At 43.2% G+C, this 19,971-nt stretch overlaps 1 annotated feature.

The window, feature by feature from the left end:
* Positions 18,859–19,455: an enhancer, noted in NCBI's record as "H3K27ac-H3K4me1 hESC enhancer chr1:35681555-35682151 (GRCh37/hg19 assembly coordinates)". NCBI's record gives its function as "activates a minimal SCP1, AML or CMV promoter by ChIP-STARR-seq in primed H9 embryonic stem cells {active_cell/tissue: H9 hESC(primed)}" and the evidence as "EXISTENCE:reporter gene assay evidence [ECO:0000049][PMID:30033119]".

Here is a 19,971-nt window from a genome sequence, read left to right as displayed (position 1 = left end):
CTGGGATTACTGGCGTGAGCCACCGTGCCCAGCCATGTTTTGTGAAGTTCTTTCATGTCTTGCTTAATAGAAAAGAGCTGGATTCTCATATCTTCTGCTTTCAGTCTACTGAGATATGCTGTTTTGGTTGAAGCATATGAAGAAAATCTGGTCTCATGCAGATATGTTATTGGAAAAGGGAAGAGTATTTTAAAAGTCTTTTTTAAAATAATTGTGAATATTTTTCTTTGGTATTATACCATAATCAACAAATTGTAGTTTCCTTCTGTTTTTTTTAATAGGATCTCACTCTGTCACCCAGGCTGGAGTGCAGTGGCATGATCTCGGCTCTCTGCAACTTCCACCTCCTGGATTCAAGCTATTCTTTTGCCTCAGCCTCCTGAGTAACTGGAATTACAGGTGCGTGCCACCATGCCTGGCTAATTTTTTATATTTTTAGTAGAGACAGGGTTTCAGGTTTCATCATGTTGGTCAGGCTAGTCTTTTTATTTTATTTTATTTTTTGAGACAGAGTTTCACTCTTGTTGCCTAGGCTGGAGTGCAATGGTGTGATCTCAGCTCACTGCAACATCCGCCTGCCAGGTTCAAGTGATTCTCCTATCTCAGCCTCCCGTGTAGCTGGGATTCCAGTCATCCACCACCATGCCTGGCTAAGTTTTTGTATTTTTAGCACAGACAGGGTTTCACCACGTTGGTCAGGTTGGTCTCGAACCTCTGACCTCAGGTGATCCACCCGCCTCAGCCTCCCAAAGTGCTGGGATTACAGGCATGAGCTATTGTGCCCAGCCAGCCAGGCTGGTCTTGAACTCCTGACCTCAAGTGATCCACCTGCCTCGGCCTCCTAAAGTGCTGGGATTAGAGGAGTGAGCCACCGTGCCTGGCCAACAAATTGTAGTTTCTTAAAGGGTAGTTTCAATGTGGAATCTGAAACCACACCAATGAATTTTTGGTATTCTGTTACATCAAAATCCCTCAGTCTGTCTTGTAACGAGTGACTGTTCTACCTATGAATAATTTTGTAACACCATGCATTTGGAAAATATTGATTCACGAAGTTATGCCAATCTTTCAAATAAAAGATCTCATTCATTAATATCATTATAAACATTAAAAAATCCCATTCATAATATCACAACCAATCTTATAATAAAAACCTTCAGTATTGCAAAGTTGTCAAGCTCAAGATGGCAAATACAACTTTTCCAAAATTCTCATTTTATGTGAAAGCTTGGATTTATTATTGGCAGTGAATACTATCGGTTGTTTTCCATGAATTAATGGTCTCACTTCACTCACTTTTGAGAAAAATGCCAAATACCCGTCTGTATAACCATAGTTTATCTGTCAGTCATTCTTCCAAGCAAAAATGGCATTTTATGAAAAAAAGGGCCCAGCAAGGTGGCTCATGCTTGTAATCCCAGAACTTTGGGAGGCCAAGGCCAGTGGATCACCTGAGGTTAGGAGTTTGAGACCAGCCTGGCCAACATGGTGAAACCCTGTCTCTACTAAAAATACAAAAATTAGCTGGGCATGGTAGCGGGAGCCTGTAATCCCAGCTACTTGGGAGGCTGAGGCTGGAGACTCTCCTGAACCCAGGAGGCAGAGGTTACAGTGACCGGAGATCGCGTCATTGCACTCCAGCCTGGGTGACAAGAGTGAAACTCCGTCTCAAAAAAAAAAAAAAAAGAAAAGAAAAGAAAAAAAAAAGGAGCTATTCTGTTCCTAGAACTAGATCCAATCCCACAAGTGCTTTTCCTTGAAGTAGTTATTATGCTTGGATGTACAGCAGAAGTGCTTTATTAAGAAGACATGTCTTGGCCAGGCGTGGTGGCTCACGCCTATAATCCCAGCACTTTGGGAAGCCAAGGCAGGTGAATCACCTGAGGTCAGGAGTTTGAGACAGGCCTGGCCAACATGGTGAAACCCCGTTTCTACTGAAAATACAAAAATTAGTTGAGCGTGGTGGTGCATGCCTGTAGTCCCAGCTACTCAGGAGGCTGAGGCAGGAGAATTGCTTGAATCTGGGAGGCGGAGGTTGCAGTCAACCAGGATTGAGCCACTGCACTCCAGCCTGGGTGACAGAGTGAAACTCAGTCTCAAAAAAAAAAAAAAAAAAAAAAAGACATGCCTTGAGGGTTGTGATTTGATAAAATTAAAATTAATAATTTTTACTGCTTCACCAAGAACATTTGTTTTACTGTGTCAGTAAAGGTGTCGGTAAAGAGTGTAATGAGGGCCGGCCGCAGTGGCTCATGCCTGTAATCCCAGCACTTTGGTAGGCCAAGGCGGGCAGATCACAAGGTCAGGAGATCGAGACCATCCTGGCTAACAGGGTGAAACCTCGTCTCTACTAAAATACAAAAATTAGCCAGGCATGGTGGCGGGCGCCTGTAGTCCCAGCTACTCGGGAGGCTGAGGCAGGAGAATGGTGTGAACCTGGGAGGCGGAGCTTGTAGTGAGCCGAGATCACGTGCCACTGCACTGCAGCCTGGGCGACAGAGTGAGACTCCATCTCAAAAAAAAAAAGAGTGCAATGAGTACAAGGTCAGCCTGGCACCACTGTGTTAAGTAAGGTCCAGCAGATAAACCTGCCATTGATTTGCAGCATCAATGCAAATGTCAGCCCAGTTAAAAAGGCTAATAACAGAATAGAAAATGGTGTACCTGCTATGGAAAACAGTATGGTGGTTCCTCCAAAAATTAAAAACGAAAATACTGTATGATCCAGCAATCCCACTGCTGAGTATATACTCAAAGAAATTGAAAGCAGGATCTTAAAGAGATATACGCATACCCATGTTCATAGCAGCATTATTTACAATAGCCAAGAAGTGGAAGCAATCCAAATGTTCATCACAGATAAATGGGTAAACAAAATGTGGTGTATATATATGCAATGGAATATTACTCAGACTTTAAAAAGAAGGAATTTTTTTTCTTTTTTTTTTTTTTTTTTAAACAGAGTCTCGCTCTGTCACCCAGGATAGAGTGCAGTGGTGCCATCTCGGCTGATAGCAACCTCTGCTTCCCAGGTTCCAGTGATTCTCCTGCTTCAGCCTCCCAAGTAGCTGAGATTACAGGCACCTGCCACCATGTCCTGCTAATTTTTGTGTTTTTAGTAGAGACAGGGTTTCTCCACGTTGGCCAGGCTGGCCTCGAACTCCTGGCCTCAGGTTATCCACCCGCCTCGGCCTCCCAAAGTGCTGGGATTACAGGCATGAGCCACTGTGTCTGGCCTAAAAAGGAAATTCTGACACATGCTACAACATGGATGAATCTTGAGGACATTATGCTAAGTGAAATAAGCCAGCTACAAAAAGACAGCTTCTATATGATTCCAATTATATGAGATTTTTTTAAAAAAGTTTATCAATCTCAAATAAACTATATATCTGTATATGCTGTATATCCAAGCATAATAAAAAAAGTCTGTAATCCTAGCACTTTAAGAAGCCGCGGCAGGTGGATTGCTTGAAGTCAGGAGTTCGAGACCAGCCTGACCCACATGGTGAAACCCCATCTCTACTAAAAATACAAAAACTTGCCAGTCGTGGTGGCAGGCACCTGTAATCTCAGCTACTTGGGAGGCAGAGGCAGAAGAATCACTTGAACTTGGGAGGCAGAGGTTGCAGTGAGCCAAGATCACATCACTGCACTCCAGTCTGGGCAACAATGTAAGACTGTCTCAAAACAAAACAAAACAAAACAAAACACAAATGTAGCAAGGAAGCCCCAAACCAGAATAGGTTCAGAAAGGCTCCTTTTAAAAGGTGTCCAAAGTAGTAAAATACCCAGAAAGATAAAGTAGGATTGTGGCTGCCAGAGGCTTGCAGAGGGGGAAAATGAAGAGTTGTTTAATGGGTATAGATTTTCAGTTTTGGAAGATGAAAAAAGTTCTAGAGATCTGTTGTGCAATAATGTGAATCTACTTGACACTACTGAATTATACACTTAAAAATGTACAAACGTAGGCTGGATGCAGTGGTGCATATATCATTATAGATGTTTAAAAGTGTTATTCATTAATATCACAATCAACCTTATTAATATAATAAAAACCTTCAGTATCACAAAGCTGTCAACCTCATGATGGCAAATACAACTTTTCCAAACTTCTAATTTTATGTGAAAGCTTGGATTTATTATTGGCAACAAATACTGTCTGTAGTCCCAGCTACGCGGGAGGCTGAGGCAGGAAGATCACTTGAGGCCAGAAGTTTGGAGCTGTAGTGCACTATGATCATGCCTGTACCCTAGCTTAGTAAACATAGCAAGACCCCATCTCTAAAAAAATAAATAAATAAAATTTAAAATTTTTCAATGTACAAAGATGGTACATTTTGTTATTTTTATCACAATTTTTAAAGGCAAATAAGGTAGTATAACTATTATCATCATTACTGTAAGAATAGTTTTGACCTCATAAACCCTCTGAAAAGGTCTCAAGGATTCTCCAGAATCAGGAATCCTTGAGAATCATTGCTCTAAACCAGGCATTGACATAATATTTTTGTCCTCATTTCTGCTTATATATTTCCTGCATTCAGAAACAAGTCTACACTCCACAACATGGCCTTCAAGACCATTCATGATCTGGCGGTATTACCCCTTTTTGTTCTGCCTTCTCTGTGTTCTAACCACAATGACATTTGTTGTACTCCGCACACAAAATACACTTTCACACTTCTATGATTTTGCTCAAGCCACATTCTGGGAACCCCTTTTCATTCTGTTAAAATCCTACTTGTTGGGCCAGGCGCAGTGGCTCACACCTATAATTTCAGCACTTTGGGAGGCCAAGACAGGCGGATCACCTGAGGTCAGGAGTTCAAGATCAGCCTGGCCAACATGGTGAAACCCCATCTCTACTAAAAATACAAAAATTAGCAAGGCGTGATGGTGGGTGCCTGAATCGCTTGGTCTCAGGAGGCGAAGGTTGCAGTGAGCTGAGATGGCGCCACTGCACACCAGCCTGGGTGACAGAACAAAACTCTGTCTCAAAAAACAAAACAAAAAAAATCCTACTTGTCCTTTAGGATTCAGCACAAACACCTGTCCCTCACCAAGTCAGGATAAAATGTCCCTTTCTGTAGGCTCTCTGGGCATTTTATTTGTCCCTTTACCTTTCTACTTATTTTCTTTGTTCTCTATTTAGTCATTTGTGTGTCTGTGTTTTCACTAGATTGTAAAAATTCCCAGGGTGATTTTTACAGGAAACAGGTAACCTGTTTCCCTTGCTGCATACTTAGCACAGTGCCTCCTTGGGTGAGCTGGGCAAGTTAGCTGTTCTCCTAACTTCTGTTTCCTCATCTGTAAAGTAGGAACAACGACACCCATCTTGTAAGTTCCTGGGAAGATTCAGTAAGATCATATCTGTTGATGTCTAGCCTAGTTCCAGGGACATTGTAGGACTGAGGTGGGAGAATAGGGTCTGGAGACAGGAAGCCTAAGGCCAACCCATGGTTGCCTTCTTGGAAGTGGACTAAGAGGAAAACCCCACCTTTCCACAACAAAGTAATGAGGGACCAAATGTCCCCCACTTTCTGAACCTCTCCTCCCCTACATCCTGAACAGGAATGTCTGTAATTGGTCTATTCTGAAACCTTCATTTGCATATGCATCACAGGCAGGATGCCTCTGATTGGTCCTGGGCAGAATCCTCCCTCTGACTGGTCCTGGGCAGAAGTCTTCATTTGTGTAGGATATAACCTATACAAATCAGAGGTCTCTAAAGGGTACTTAGGGGTGTTACCATGCTCTTTTAATTCAATAAAAATCCCAAGGAACATTACAATCAGGGCTCTTGCTCCAGTGGTCTCCAACTCTGTGGAGTGTACTTTCACTTCAATAAATCTGTGCTTTCATTGCTTCATTCTTTTGCTGCTTTGTTTGTGCATTTTGTTCCATTCTTTGTTCAATGTGCCAAGAACCTGGACAATTGGTAGTCAAGACTTTCTATCCGGTAGGAGGACCACAATAAATGGGAAAGCCTTCCCTTTCCTTAGTACGTATTTAGTGAACAGATTTGAATAGGGAAGCATTATAAAATACAACAAGGGGATTTAGACAAATCTCAGAATGGTTATTAATAAACAATACTAGTATTATGATGTCCTAACAGTTGTTGCTACCAATACCTGGAGAAAATTTGTTACAAGGGAAATCTAGTCTTTTCTCCATAGCCTTCTGACTTTATCATCCAGGTTTGATCTCATGAGCCTTTTCATACTCCCCCAGGGAACACTACCACTCAAAAGTTAGTAGAATAGGCCGGGCACAATGGCTCACACCTGTAATCCCAGCACTTTGGGAGGCTGAGGTGGCAGATCACGAGGTCAGGAGTTTGAGACCAGCCTGGCCAACATGGTGAAACCCCATCTCTACTAGAAATACAAAAATTAGCTAGGCGTGGTGGCAGGTGCCTATAGTCCCAGCTACTAGGGAGGCTGAGGCAGGAGAATCGCTTGAGCCCGGGAGGTGGAGATTGCAGTGAGCCAAGATCGTGCCACTGAACTCCAGCCCAGGGAACAGAGTGAGATTCCAACTCAAAAAAAAAAAAAAAGTTAGAATGATCTTTTAGGCTGTAAGTGCAAGTCAGACAAAATCTATGAGATATTCAAAATTAAGTGAGGTATCAAATATTCAAAGGAATTGTTTCACTCTGGTAATATGTAAGAATGCAAGATTCTAAGATTCCTCTAAGCTCCAGTCTTTAAAACTCAAAACATTTTAAATGGAAGATACTAATATATTATAGGATCTCATCAAATTAAATGGTTTTAAGAATTTGAAAAAAAAAGACATGTACACATCTGAAGAACCAAAGAAATGCAAAATCAATTAATTAATTAACATGACAAGAATGTGAGAAAAAGATAAATTAGGAAATGGGTATATTTGACGTGGGCTGTGGTATCATTGTGTTATAACTCCACTTGATGTTACTGATTCATCAATATAATTTTTTTTTTTTTTTTGAGACAGAGTCTCGCTCTGTCACCCAGGCTGGAGTGCAGTGGCTCAATCCTGGCTCACTGCAACCTCTGCCTCCCAGGTTCACGCCATTCTGCTGCCTCAGCCTCCCAAGTAGGTGGGACCACAGGCACCCGCCACCACACCCGGCTAATTTTTTAATTTTAGTAGAGACAGGGTTTCACCGTGTTAGCCAGGATGGTCCTGATCTCCTGACCTCGTGATCTACCCACCTCAACCTCCCAAGGTGCTAGGACTACAGGCATGAGCCATGATATAATAATTTTAAAGAGTTTTCAGTATGTCTTTGGTCATTCGTAATCTCAATCAATGTTTCCTTTTCTAGTCTACATCTTGAAACTCTGGAAAGTTTTATAACGTAATATAGAAAAGTTTAAGGGAATCAAGCCATATTATTAATATTTCTGTGTCAAGAAATTTGTAAACAATTGACATTTTATATACTTTTTTTTAAGATAAATTGTTTCCAGATTGAAAGAGCTTACCAATGGGCCCAGCATATGAATTTTAAAAGCCTGGAATCACAGTGAGACCCCATCTCTACAGCCTAAGGCACGTCATCTAAAAATTTCAAACTGCAAGATATTAAAAAAAAAAAATCCCTCAAAGTCTCCAGAGAGAGAAAACAGATGACATTCTGAAAGCAGAATGTAACATTGAAAGCTGAAAGACAATCGAACAAATCTTTTCAAACATTGAGGGGGAGAAACAGGCTGATCAATCTAATTTTCTTCAACTAGCCATACTAGTAAGTGTGAGAATAGAATTAAGACATTTTCTTTCTTTTTCTTTTCTTTTCTTTTTTTTTTTTTTTTTAGTCAAGGTCTCACTCTGATGCCCAGGCTGGAGTGCAGTGGAGTGCAGTGCAGTGGATCTTGACTCATCACAACCTCCACCTCCTGGGCTCAAGTGATCCTCCCACCTCAACCTCCTCAGTAGCTGGGACTACAGGTATGCACCACTATAACTGGCAATTTTTTTTTCTTTTTTTTTTTTTGGTAGAGACACGGTTTTGCCATGTTGCCCAGCCTGATCTTGAACTCCTGAGCTCATATTCCACCTGCTTTGGCTTCCCAAAGTGCTGGGATTACAGGTGTGAGCCCCTGCACCTGGCCAAAACATTTTCATTTTATAAAGATTCAGTAGATTTACCTTAGAAACTCTCTTCAATAGAGAAGCAACTGGGAGATGTGCTGCAGTAAAATAAGGGAATAATCCTACAAAGATAATGAAATAAGATCAAGGAAGCAGAAGACACAACACAAGAAAATGGTGAAAAGAAGTCCAGTGGTAACATCTTGTTGCAGACCTAGACATCTAGCTCTTACTGCAGAATGTAGTAGTAGCGGGCTATGGAACAGCAATGTCGGTGGGGGGCAGGGAAATGGAATTGATTTGATCAGTTGAAAAATAGTATTGATAGGCATACAGTGTATCGTGGAACACATAAGGAAAGCTGATCGTATGAATAAGGGAAACTAAGCAAATTTAAAAGTGAAGCAATACCTGTAGGAAAATACAATAGGACAAAAACTAAATTGCATAGTATACTCATTGGCATAGAAGTAAATAATGCTTATGAAACCATAATAATGCAAATATTGATTACTGATTCAACGAACAATTGTGATACTGGGAGAATGAAAAGAGGAAGAGGGAGTGGTGGGTGTTAGGAGCTAAATTATCACTTACCTTAAGAAGTCAATGAATAATGTTTAAAGTTTAGAAATCATGGCTGGGAAGCGATGGCTCATGCCTACAATGTTAGCACTTTGGGAGGCCAAGGCTGGAGGATCTCATGAGGTCAGGAGTTCAAGACCAGCCTGGGCAAAATAGTGAGATCCATTCCCCCCTCCCCTCCCCAATCTCTACACAAAAATTTAAAAATTAGCTGGGCATGATGGTGTGTACCTATAGTTCCAGCTACTCAGGAGGCTGAAGAGGGAGAATTGCTTGAGCCCAAGAGGTTGAGGCTGCAGTGAGCCAGGATTACACCATGGTATTCCATCCAGCATGGATGACAAAATAAGGTCCTGTTTCTAAAAAGAAGAACAAGGCTGGGACTTTGGGAGGCCAAGGCAGGCAGATCACCTGAGGTCAGGAGTTCGAGAACAGCCTGGCCAACATGGTGAAATCCCATCTCTACTACAAATACAAAATTAGCTGGGCGTGGTGGGGCATGCCTGTAATTCCAGATACTTGGGAGGCTGAGGCAGGAAAATCACTTGAACCCAGGAGGTGGAGATAGTAGTGAGCTGAGATTGCGCCACTTCACTCCAGCCTGGCCAACAAGAGCGAAACTCCATCTCATAAATAAATAAATAAATAAATAAATAAAGGCCAGGCGCTGTGGCTCACACCTGTAATCCCTGCACTTTGGGAGGCCAAGGCAGGTGGATCACCTGAGGTCAGGAGTTTGAGACCAGCCTGGCCAACATGGTGAAACCCCGTCTCTATTAAAAATACAAAACATAATTAGCCTGGTATGGTGGCAGGTGCCTGTGATCCCAGCTACTCAGGAGACTGAGGCAGGAAAATCACTTGAACCTGGGAGGTGGAGGTTGCCCTGAGCTGAGATTGTGCCACTGCACTCCAGCCTGGGCAACAGAGTGAGACTCCATCTCAAAAAAAAAAATAATAATTTAAAGTAAATAAAAATAAAAGAGGAAGAGGAATAAAAAATAGTGTATCAGTATATGATTAAGAGATATGAAAGTAGATTTCAGAAAAAATATATAGGTAATATAGTTGACATCCTGGGAAGTGAAGCTAGTGGGCAGGGACTGGTAGGAAAAGGATCACTGGGTTTCTTGATAATTCTACTTATATTAATTTATATATTAGTTTTATGTAATATTTAAAAGTGTTTATATTTACATTTATATTTATTTATTTATTTTGAGAGTGAGTCTTGCTCTATCTCCCAGGCTGGACAGTGTAGTGGTGCAATCTTGGCTCACTTCAACCTCTGCCTCCTGGGATCAAGCGATTCTCCTACCTCAGCCTCCCAAGTAGCTGGGATTACAGGTGCCCGCCACCACGTCCAGCTAATTTTCATATTTTTAGTAGAGATGGAGTGTTACCATGTAGACCAGGCTGGTCTCAAACTCCTGACCTCAAGTGATCTGCCTGCCTCAGCCTCCCACAGTGCTGGGATTACAGGTGTGAGCCACTGTGCCGGGCCAATATATTTATATTTTATTTTATTATTTATTTATTTATTTATTTATTTGAGACAGAGTCTTGCTCTGTCACCAGGCTGGAATGCAGTGGCATGATCTTGGCTCACTGCAACCTCTGCCTCCCTGGTTCAAATAATTCTCCTGCCTCAGCCTCCCGAGTAGCTGGGACTGCGGGCATGCGCCACCATGCCCAGCTAATTTTTGCATTTTTAGTAGAGATAGGGTTTCACCACATTGGCTGGGATGGTCTCAATCTCTTGACCTCGTGATCTGCCTGCCTCGGCCTCCCAAAATGCTGGGATTACAGGCATGTGCCACCACGCCTGGACTATATTTTAAAAATTGAAAATGATGCTACAATAAACATCAATGTATATACATCATCGTGCTCATTCTGATTATGTCCTTACAATAAATTCCAAGAAATGGAATTTCCGGGTCAGGACACATACATATGTTAAAGGCTTTTGATACAAGTTACAGAAATAACTCTCCAGCAGAAAAATAACTTCTCTCAGCAGAGAAGTAGCCTGGCCTGTCATCTCCCAACCAGATTGTCAATAGCTCCAAAGCTAAATTAACAGATTATTCTCCTTGGCTTTCTGACTCATTCCTCTGCCTTTTATTAGAAACCAGAATTTTGAACTGGGAAGGTTGTCTGGTCAAACAAGAAGCCTGGGTGAGAAATACTATTTTGGCTACGCTACTGCCTGTCTATATGGTTTTGAACACCTCTCTTCCTTTCTCTGGCCTCAGTTTTATCATGTCTAAAGTGAGGTGCGTGGACCAGATTATTACTTCTCAACGTTTTTACTACCCCTCTCTTGAACAGCATGTTTTTATCTATTAAACAAAATGCGTTTACTAAGAAATTATTTATTCTCCTTCCTGGTATGTATTACTCACATAAGATGACAGTTGACCAGGCGCAGTGGCTCACGCCTGTCATCCCAGCCCTTTGGGAGGCCAAGGCAGGTGGATCTCTTGAGGCCAGTAGTTCAAGACCAGCCTGGCCAAAATGGTGAAATCCTGTCTCTACTAAAAACATAAAAATTAGCCAAGTGTGGTGGCAGGTGCCTATAATTCCAGCTACTTAGGAGGATGAGGCAGGAGAATCACTTGAGCCCAGGAGGCGAGGTTGCAGTGAGCCGGGGTCGTGCCACTGCACTCCGGCCTGGGCAACAGAGGGAGACTCTGTCTCAAAAAAAAAAAAAAAAAAGATAACAGTCTATGAGAACTTCTGGATAGCAGGGGAGAGACACCCCTTGCAACCTAACTGAATTAATAAATTTAAGCCAAAAGAATATTATTTTCCAGCTTGCACAGCCTGACTGTAGCAAATAATGTAAACTATGTTAGCTCCCTTTGCTGCTTGTAGATTCCCCAGGGTGAATGGGGTGAGATAACTGTCTCAGATTCAGTAATCAATTTTCTCTACCTATGCCCCACCATCATCAGAGTTTATTCTGTCAAGACCGCTGCCCAGGCCAGGTGCTATGGCTCACACCTGTAATCCCAGCACTTTGGGAGGCTGAGGCGGGAGGATTGCTGGAGCCCAGGAGGTCGAGACCAGCCTAGGCTGTAGCCAGACTCCATCTCTACATTTAAAAAGAATTTTTTTTTAATTAAAAAGAAAAGAGACTGCTGTCTAGATAAATCAGTTAAACAACTGGCCTTGTACATATTTACGGAAGCTAGCCTACAGCAAAGGCCAGTGAAGCAAAGATTAGCACCAAGGCTGGGCATGATGACTCTAGCCTGTAATCCCAGCTACTCAAGGAAGTGGGTGGAGGAGGGTTTTGAGGCAAGAGGATGGCTTGAGCTTGGTAGGTCGAGGCTACAGTGAGCTGAGATGGTGCTAATGCACTCCAGCCTGGGCTGTCTTAAAAAAAAAAAAAAAAAAAAAATTAGCACCAAGCCCTGTAAGGAGAGAAGGAGGGAAGGAGGATTTATTTTGAAGTTAATGGAGCTTAAGTTTCAGGGCCCCTCACTTGCAGGGGCTCCTCTGAGAGATGGGTGTTGCTAGGAGTTGTAGTCTGCTCTAGAGAAGGAGAGGAAGCGGTTTGCAATCAAGAAGAATTTCTGCATAAGCATTTCCGAAAAATTGCCTGGAATATCTCAGAAAAGAGGGATCTGAATCTCTGTCTTCAATAATTTGTCTTGATGTCTTTTCTCATTCCAAACAAATATTCGCATGCATACTTAATACTGTAGTCATAATTTTGTATTCTCTTTCTTGGAAAGGGCCTCAGGAATTGCAAAAGCTCAGGCCCTACAAAACCTGGATCCACTCCAAATATAGAAATGCATCTCCTCCCAGCAAGATAAAAGCTAAAGATCTGGCTTATTCACTGGTAGCAGAAGAGAAACAGTTTTACTGCCTCTCCATCTTTGACCAGCATATGTGGACAAATATCCTCCAGGCCAGGCCTGTAACATGAGAGCACATGTGTAACCAACAATTCCAGTGTAGTCCCAGATTATTGCAGCTACCTCTCTGGGGACCCTGATAGTCCATGCGAACGACCAGCTATTCAGATAATTTCTCAAAACTAATCTCTTCTTAACCATTGCTTTCAAATCTTCTTCCAACAGTCTTTTGCCCTCCCTTGTAATACATTTCAAAAGCAATGTGTTTGCTTTCCTATGCCTGGCACATTTGAAAGCATGCAATAAATAATTGTTAAATGAATAATTTAGGAGAATGAATCCTAGCCTTTCTGGTTCCCAGCCTCTGACAAGAGTGTGAATAAGCTGTAAAATTACAAAAATATGGGCAGTCGTAGGAAGTAGGATGACAGCTTTTCTTTTCTGTTTATTCACTAAAGCAGCGATTTGCAAACTTAGTGTGTTTTAGAAAGTCATATTTAAAGTCCAGATTCACAGGCCCTGCCCCCAGAGGTCAGATTCGGTGGTCTAGGAAGGGATTCAGGAAGCCACATTTTTGTTAATGAACACTGGTGATTCTGATTGTAGGCCACTTTTTGAGAAACACTGAAAAAAATGACTGGGTCTGTCTAGGTACAGAATTTACTGATCTCACCAAAAGCAGTGGCTCACACCTGTAATCCCAGCACTTTGGGAGGCTAAAGCAAGCAAATTGCCTGAGCTCAGGAATTTGAGACCAGCCTGAGCAACTTGGCAAAACCCTGTCTCTACAAAGAAATACAAAACTTAGCTGGGCATGGTGGTACATGCCTGTAGTCCCAACTATTTGGGGGGCTGAGGCAGGAGAATCACTAGAGCCCAGGAGGTGGAGGCTGCCATGAGCCAAGATCTTGCCACTGCACTCCAGCCTGGGTGACAGAGCGAGACCCCATCTGAAAAAAAAATAAATAAATAAAAAAAGAATTTACTGATCTCTTGCAACCATTCTGTCTGGGGGTGGTTCTAGAAGTTTGGTCCCTTGAGATTGTAGCAATCCTTAATTTCTTTTCTGTACATAAATGTTAACAGCTGCTATAGTGGAAACAATACAGGTTTGAGAAATCAGACAGATCTGGGTTCAAATTGTTTAATCTCTCTGAGCCTCAATTAATGTGCAAAATAGGCATAATAATGCCACCATAATTATTGTGAGAACTAAATACACTGACATGTGAAAGTCTTGTGTAGAATGCTAGTGCATACAAGCCTTCCATACAAAGCTGTTCAGTAAAAGCTCATTTTTTACCTCATTCTTTTGCCTGAATGATATGAAAGATGAAGGAATTTCCCCCAAGAACCATGGAATTCTCCCATTTAGACATTCACTTCCTAGGCTTCAGTCTTTAATTCTTGTTAAAATGTATATGGCTCTGAAATTAGTAACCAGACATCCCATTGTTATTTATATCTTAGTTAAATGCAGTTGCTGAATTGTTTTGGGAAAGCAAAGGCAAGAAGAAGGCTTGGGGGGTGAGCAGCCTATGGTGGGAAAAGAGAGAGGGAAGAGGTTGAGGGAGAGGAGAAGGATGTAGGGGAAAAACTGTAGGCACTCTTCAAATGTTTATAGTCTCATATGGGGCCAGGAAGCCTGCTGTGAACAATGATTTTCAGCCTATGCTCCTAGTGGCCATGTGAAGAAACACAAGGGGTCTGTTGGTGGGGAGGACGTTTTAGTGAAGAGGTGCTGAAAATGTTAGCAATTTTTGTGGCCAGGTGTGGTGGCTCACGCCTGTAATCCCAGCATTTTGGGAGGCCATGGTGAGTGGATCACTTGAGGTCAGGAGTTTGAGACCAGCCTGGCCAACATGGTGAATCCTGATCTCTACTAAAAATACAAAAAATTAGCAAGGCGTGGTGGCACATGCCTGTAATCCCAGGTACTCTAGGGGTTCAAGCAAGAGAATTGCTTGAACCCAGGAGGTGGAGGTTACAGTGATCCTGGATCCTGCCACTGCACTGCAACCCAGGGGGCAGAGTGAGACTCCATCTCAAAAAACAAACCATTTTTGTAAGGGAAGGTATTTCTTTGGAAAAATATCTTGGTAAAATCCTCTTGGAGTGAAGGCGAAACCTTAAGGGCATGACTGTGGCTAAACTACTTTGAGTTGAAGAGTTTAGTTTTTCTCCTGAGTGGAAGGGTAATGGAGAGTGGGGTTGGAAAAAGAAAGGTGGAAATGGCATGAAGGTGGTGACTCTGTGGAGTGAAAATTATTGGTGTAAAATCCTTAGCAGTGGGCAGCCAGATGACATTAGAAAGGAATGTCTGGCTGGGCGTGGTGGCTCACGCTTGTAATCCCAACACTTTGGGAGGGCGAGGTGGGTGGATCACCTGAGGTCAGGAGTTTGAGACCAGCCTGGCCAACATGGTGAAGCCTCGTCTCTACTAAAAATACAAAAATTAGCTGGGCGTGGTAGTGGCCACCTGTAATCCCAGCTACTCTGGAGGCTGAAGCAGGAGAATTGCTTGAACCCAGGAAGTGGAGGTTGCAGTGAGCTGAGATTGCACCACTGCATTCCAGCCTGGGCAACAAGAGTGAAATTCTGTCTCAAAAAAAAAAAAAAAAGAAAAAAGAAAAGAAAAGAAAGAAAGGAATGTCTGGTGTTCACATTGACATTTTTGATAGTAATATGGAGGTAATAGTTAATGGCCACTAGAGTGTGAGATTTCTGGGTTTTCCATGTCCATCTTTCATGGCTGGATAATTGCAATCCAGCTTTGGCAGAGATTGTTGACTGGCTCCCCCAAAGGCAGCCTCCTCTTCCTTGATAGTTATAGAAATTGTTATTATTATTATTATTATTTTGAGATGGAGTCTTGCAATGTTGCCCAGGCTGGAGTGCAGTGGCACGATCTCTGCTCACTGCAAGCTCCGCCTCCTGGGTTCACGCCATTCTCGCCTCAGTCTCCCCAGTAGCTGGCACTGCAGGCGCCCGCCAACGCGCCCAGCTAATTTTTTGTACTTTTTTGGTAGAGACGGGGTTTCACCGTGTTAGCCAGGATGGTCTCGATCTCCTGACCTCGTGGTCTGCCCGCCTCGGCCTCCCAAAATGCTGGGATTACAGGCGTGAGCCACCGCGCCTGGCCGATAGCTATAGAAATTTTAGCTGAGCATAGAGCTGCCTAGTAAAAGACCACATTTTTCGGTCTTCCTTGTAACTAGACGTGGCCATGTGACTAGGTTCTGGCCAATGGAATATGAGCAGGATGAGTGAAATGTCCAACTTCCAGGTGTGTCTTTAGAAGCAAAGAGTATATCCTCCCTTTTGCAGTGGATGTGCATGTGATGGCAGGTGCTAGAGTACCTATACCTATGCAACCACGGAAACTTCCATAATAGCTAGGGAAGCTACTTGCTAAGGAACACAGAACTATAGGATAGAAGAAACCTGGACCTCTTACTAATCTTGTGAAGCAGATTGCCCAACCAGGCCCCAACTGCTTTGTCTAGACCTTTTGTTTTTGTTTTTCTTTTTTTGTTGTTATTTTATGTATTTATTTATTTTATTATTATTATTATTTTTTTTTTTTTTGAGACAGAGTCTCGCTCTGTTGCCCAGGTTGGAGTGCAGCGGCGCGATCTCGGCTCACTGCAAGCTCCGCTTTCCGGGTTCACGCCATTCTCTTGCCTCAGCCTCCTGAGTAGCTGGGACTACAAGTGCCCTCCACTACACCCGGCTAATTTTTTTTTTTTTTTTTTTTGAGACGGAGTCTCGCTCTGTCGCCCAGGCTGGAGTGCAGTGGCGCGATCTCGGCTCACTGCAAGCTCCGCCTCCCGGGTTCACGCCATTCTCCTGCCTCAGCCTCCCGAGTAGCTGGGACTACAGGCGCCCGCTACCACGCCCGGCTAATTTTTTGTATTTTTAGTAGAGACGGGGTTTCACCGTGTTAGCCAGGATGGTCTCGATCTCCTGACCTCGTGATCCACCCGCCTCGGCCTCCCAAAGTGCTGGGATTACAGGCGTGAGCCACCGTGCCTGGCTGTTGTTATTTTAGAGACAGGGTCTTGCTCTGTCCCCAGACTGGAGTGCAATGGTGCAATCACAAGTTACGGTAATCTTGAACACCTGGGCTCAAGAGATCCTCCCACTGCAGCCACCCAAATAGCTTGAATTACAGGCACATGCCACCACGCCCCATTAATTTTTTAAATTTTTTAAATTTTTTGTAGACATGGGGGTCCCACTATGTTGCCTAGGGTGGTTTTGAACTCCTGGCCTCAGGTGATCCTCCTGCCTCAGCCTCCCTAAACACTTGAATTACAGGTGTGAGCCAATGGAACTGGCCTGTCTAGACTCTTTTTAGAGAAAGAACTTCTATCATGTTTGAAATTTGGTTTTGTTTCTTTTTGTTATTGCAGTCAAACTTCCAACCTAAGCTAATATATAAGAAAATGCACTGGATTTGTTCTTGAGCAGAACTTTAAAAAGCACACATTTATTTCTTCATTATAAAAAGAACCTGGCCGGGCGTGGTGGCTCATGCCTATAATCCTAGGGCTTTGGGAAGCAAAGGTGGGTGGATCACCTAAGGTCAGGAGTTGTAGACCAGCCTGGCCAATGTGGCAAAACCCCATCCCTACCACAAATACAAAAATTAGCTGGGTGTGGTGGTGGGCGCCTATAATCCCAGCTATTCCAGAGGCTGAGGCAGAAGAATGTCTTGAACCCAGGGGGAGGAGGTTGCAGTGAGCCGAGATCACGCCACTTCACTCTAGCCTGGGTGAAAGAGCGAGACTCCAGAAAAAATAAATAAATAAATAAATAAGTAAGTAAACAAACAAACAAACAAACCTACCAACAATACTCTTGATATGATGTGATGAGCATGGTACCTGATTTCTGTGGTCTTCTTCCCCAAAACCCATAACTCCAGTCTAATCATGAGAAAAACATCAGATAAGTCCAAATTGAGGTTTATCCTACAAAATACCTGGCCAGTGCTCCTCAAAACTATGAAAGTCATCAAAAAGAAGGAAGCCCAAGAAACTCACAACCAACGGGAGCTTAAGGAGACAGGACAACTAAATGTAATGTGGTGTCCTCTGAGGGATTCTGGAACAGTAGAAGGACATTAGATAAAAACCAAAGAAATCTGAATAAAGTGTGGACTTTTATTTATTTAATAATAAAATTCAATAATTTTATTGATTTTTATTACGTCAATAATGATTCAGGCCCAGCACTTTGGGAGACCAAGGCAGGTGGATCTCTTGAGGTCAGGAGTTTGAGACCAGCCTGGCCAACATGGTGAACCCCATCTCTACTAAAAATACAAAAAATTAGCTAGGCATGGTGGCAAGTGCCTGTAATCCCAGGTTCTCAGGAGGCTGAGGTAGGAGAATCGCTTGAACCTGGGAGGCAGAGGTTGCAGTGAGCCAAGATCGCACCACTGCACTCCAGCCTGGGCGACAGAGTGAGACTCCATCTCAAAAAAAAAAAATAATAATGATTCAATAATAATTTAATATTGGCTCATCAATTATGACAAAAGATGTTAACAGTAGGGAAAATTGGGTATGAGGTATAAGGGAACTCTGTTCTATGTTTGCAACTTCTCTTTAATCTAAATTTCTTCTAAAATAAAAAATTTATTGAAAAAATAGGCTGGGTGTGGTGCCTCACGCCTGTAATCTCATCACTTTGGGAGGCTGAGGCAGGCAGATTGCTTGAGGCCGGGAGTTGGAGACCAGCCTGGCCAACATAGCAAAACCCTGTCTCTACTAAAAATACAAAAATTGGCTGGGTGCAATGGGTCACGCCTGTAATCCCAGCACTTTGGGAGGCCGAGGCGGGCGGATCACCTAAGGTCACAAGTTCGAGATCAGCCTGGCCAACTTGGTGAAAACGTGTCTCCATTAAAAATACAAAAATTGGCCTGGCATAGTGGTGGGCGCCTGTAATCCCAGCTACTTGGGGGGGCTGAGGCAGGAGAATCACTTGAACCCAGGAAGTGGAGGTTGTAGTGAGCTGAGATCATGACACTGCACTCCAGCCTAGGTGACAAGAGCGAGACTCCATCTTACCAAAAAAAAAAATTAGCTGGGCATGGTGGCGCATACCTGTAATCCCAGCTTCTTGGGAGGCTGAGGTACGAGAACTGCTTGAACCCGGGGGGGTGGAGGTAGTAGTAACCCAAGATCACACCACTGCGCTCCAGTGTGAGTGACAGAGCAAGAGAAAAGGAGAAGAAAAGAGAAGAGAAGAGAAGAGAAAAGAGAAAGAGGCGGGGCGCGGTGGCTCATGCCTATAATCCCAGCACTTTGGGAGGCCGAGGCGGGTGGATCACTTGAGGACAGGAGTTCAAGCCTGGCCTGGCCAACATGGCGAAACCCCATCTCTACTAAACATACAAAATTAGCCGGGCGTGGTGGCGCGTGCCTGTAATCCTAGCTTCTCAGGAGGCTGAGGCAGGAGAATCGCTTGAACCAGGGAGTCGGAGGTTGCAGTGAGCTGAGATCATGCCACAGCACTCAAGCCTGGTGACAGAGTGAGACTCCATTTCAAAAAAGAAAGAAAGAGAGAGAGAGAAGGAAGGAAGGGAGAGAGAGAGAAAGAAAGAAAGAAAGAAAGAAAGAAAGAAAGAAAGAAAGAAAGAAAGAAAGAAAGAAAATATTACACTTTGAATTTTTTGTTTGTTTTTTGTTTGTTTTTGTTTTTTTTTGAGACAGAATCTTGCTCTGTCACCCAGGCTGGAGCGCAGTGGTGCGATCTCGGCTCACTGCAAGCTCCGCCTCCTGGGTTCACGCCATTCTCCTGCCTCAGCCTCCGGAGTAGCTGGGACTACAGGCGCCCACCACCACGCCCAGCTAACCTTTTGTATTTTTAGTAGAGACGGTATTTCACCGTGTTAGCCAGGATGGTCTCGATCTCCTGACCTCAGGATCCACCCGCCTCGGCCACCCAAAGTGCTGGGATTACAGGCATGAGCCACCGCGCCTGGCCACACTTTGAAAATTTTAGAATACAAATTGAAATGAAAAAAAAAAAATCACCCCAAACACCATAATTCAGCAATTTGCTATATCTGCATGTGTGCTTTAAATGAAAACTACCATACTGTATATACAATTTCTGTCTTATGTTAATTAAAATTTATCCTTAAGCATTTGTATATACATTCATTTCCTAGCTTTTCAAGAGGACCTGAAATCAATGACATATAACAGCAATTAATACAGTTGGTTTCCAAAAGGAACAGAGCCCCCTAGAGAAATGACCGATTCCAGAGTTGGGACAGAATGAGCCTGTGGATATTGTGTGCCAGACAGTAAATAGTGCTCAAAGAATGACGGCATAAGTCAAGAGGACACATGAGTTAGCTCGAACAGGCTCCACTGGCCAAATCTGGGACAACTTGAGAATCAACATC

The sequence above is a fragment of the Homo sapiens genome, chromosome 1, assembly GCF_000001405.40.
Source record: "Homo sapiens chromosome 1, GRCh38.p14 Primary Assembly".
In the NCBI taxonomy this organism is placed as follows: Eukaryota; Metazoa; Chordata; class Mammalia; order Primates; family Hominidae; genus Homo; species Homo sapiens.
This window is presented reverse-complemented; position numbering and strand designations above follow the sequence as displayed.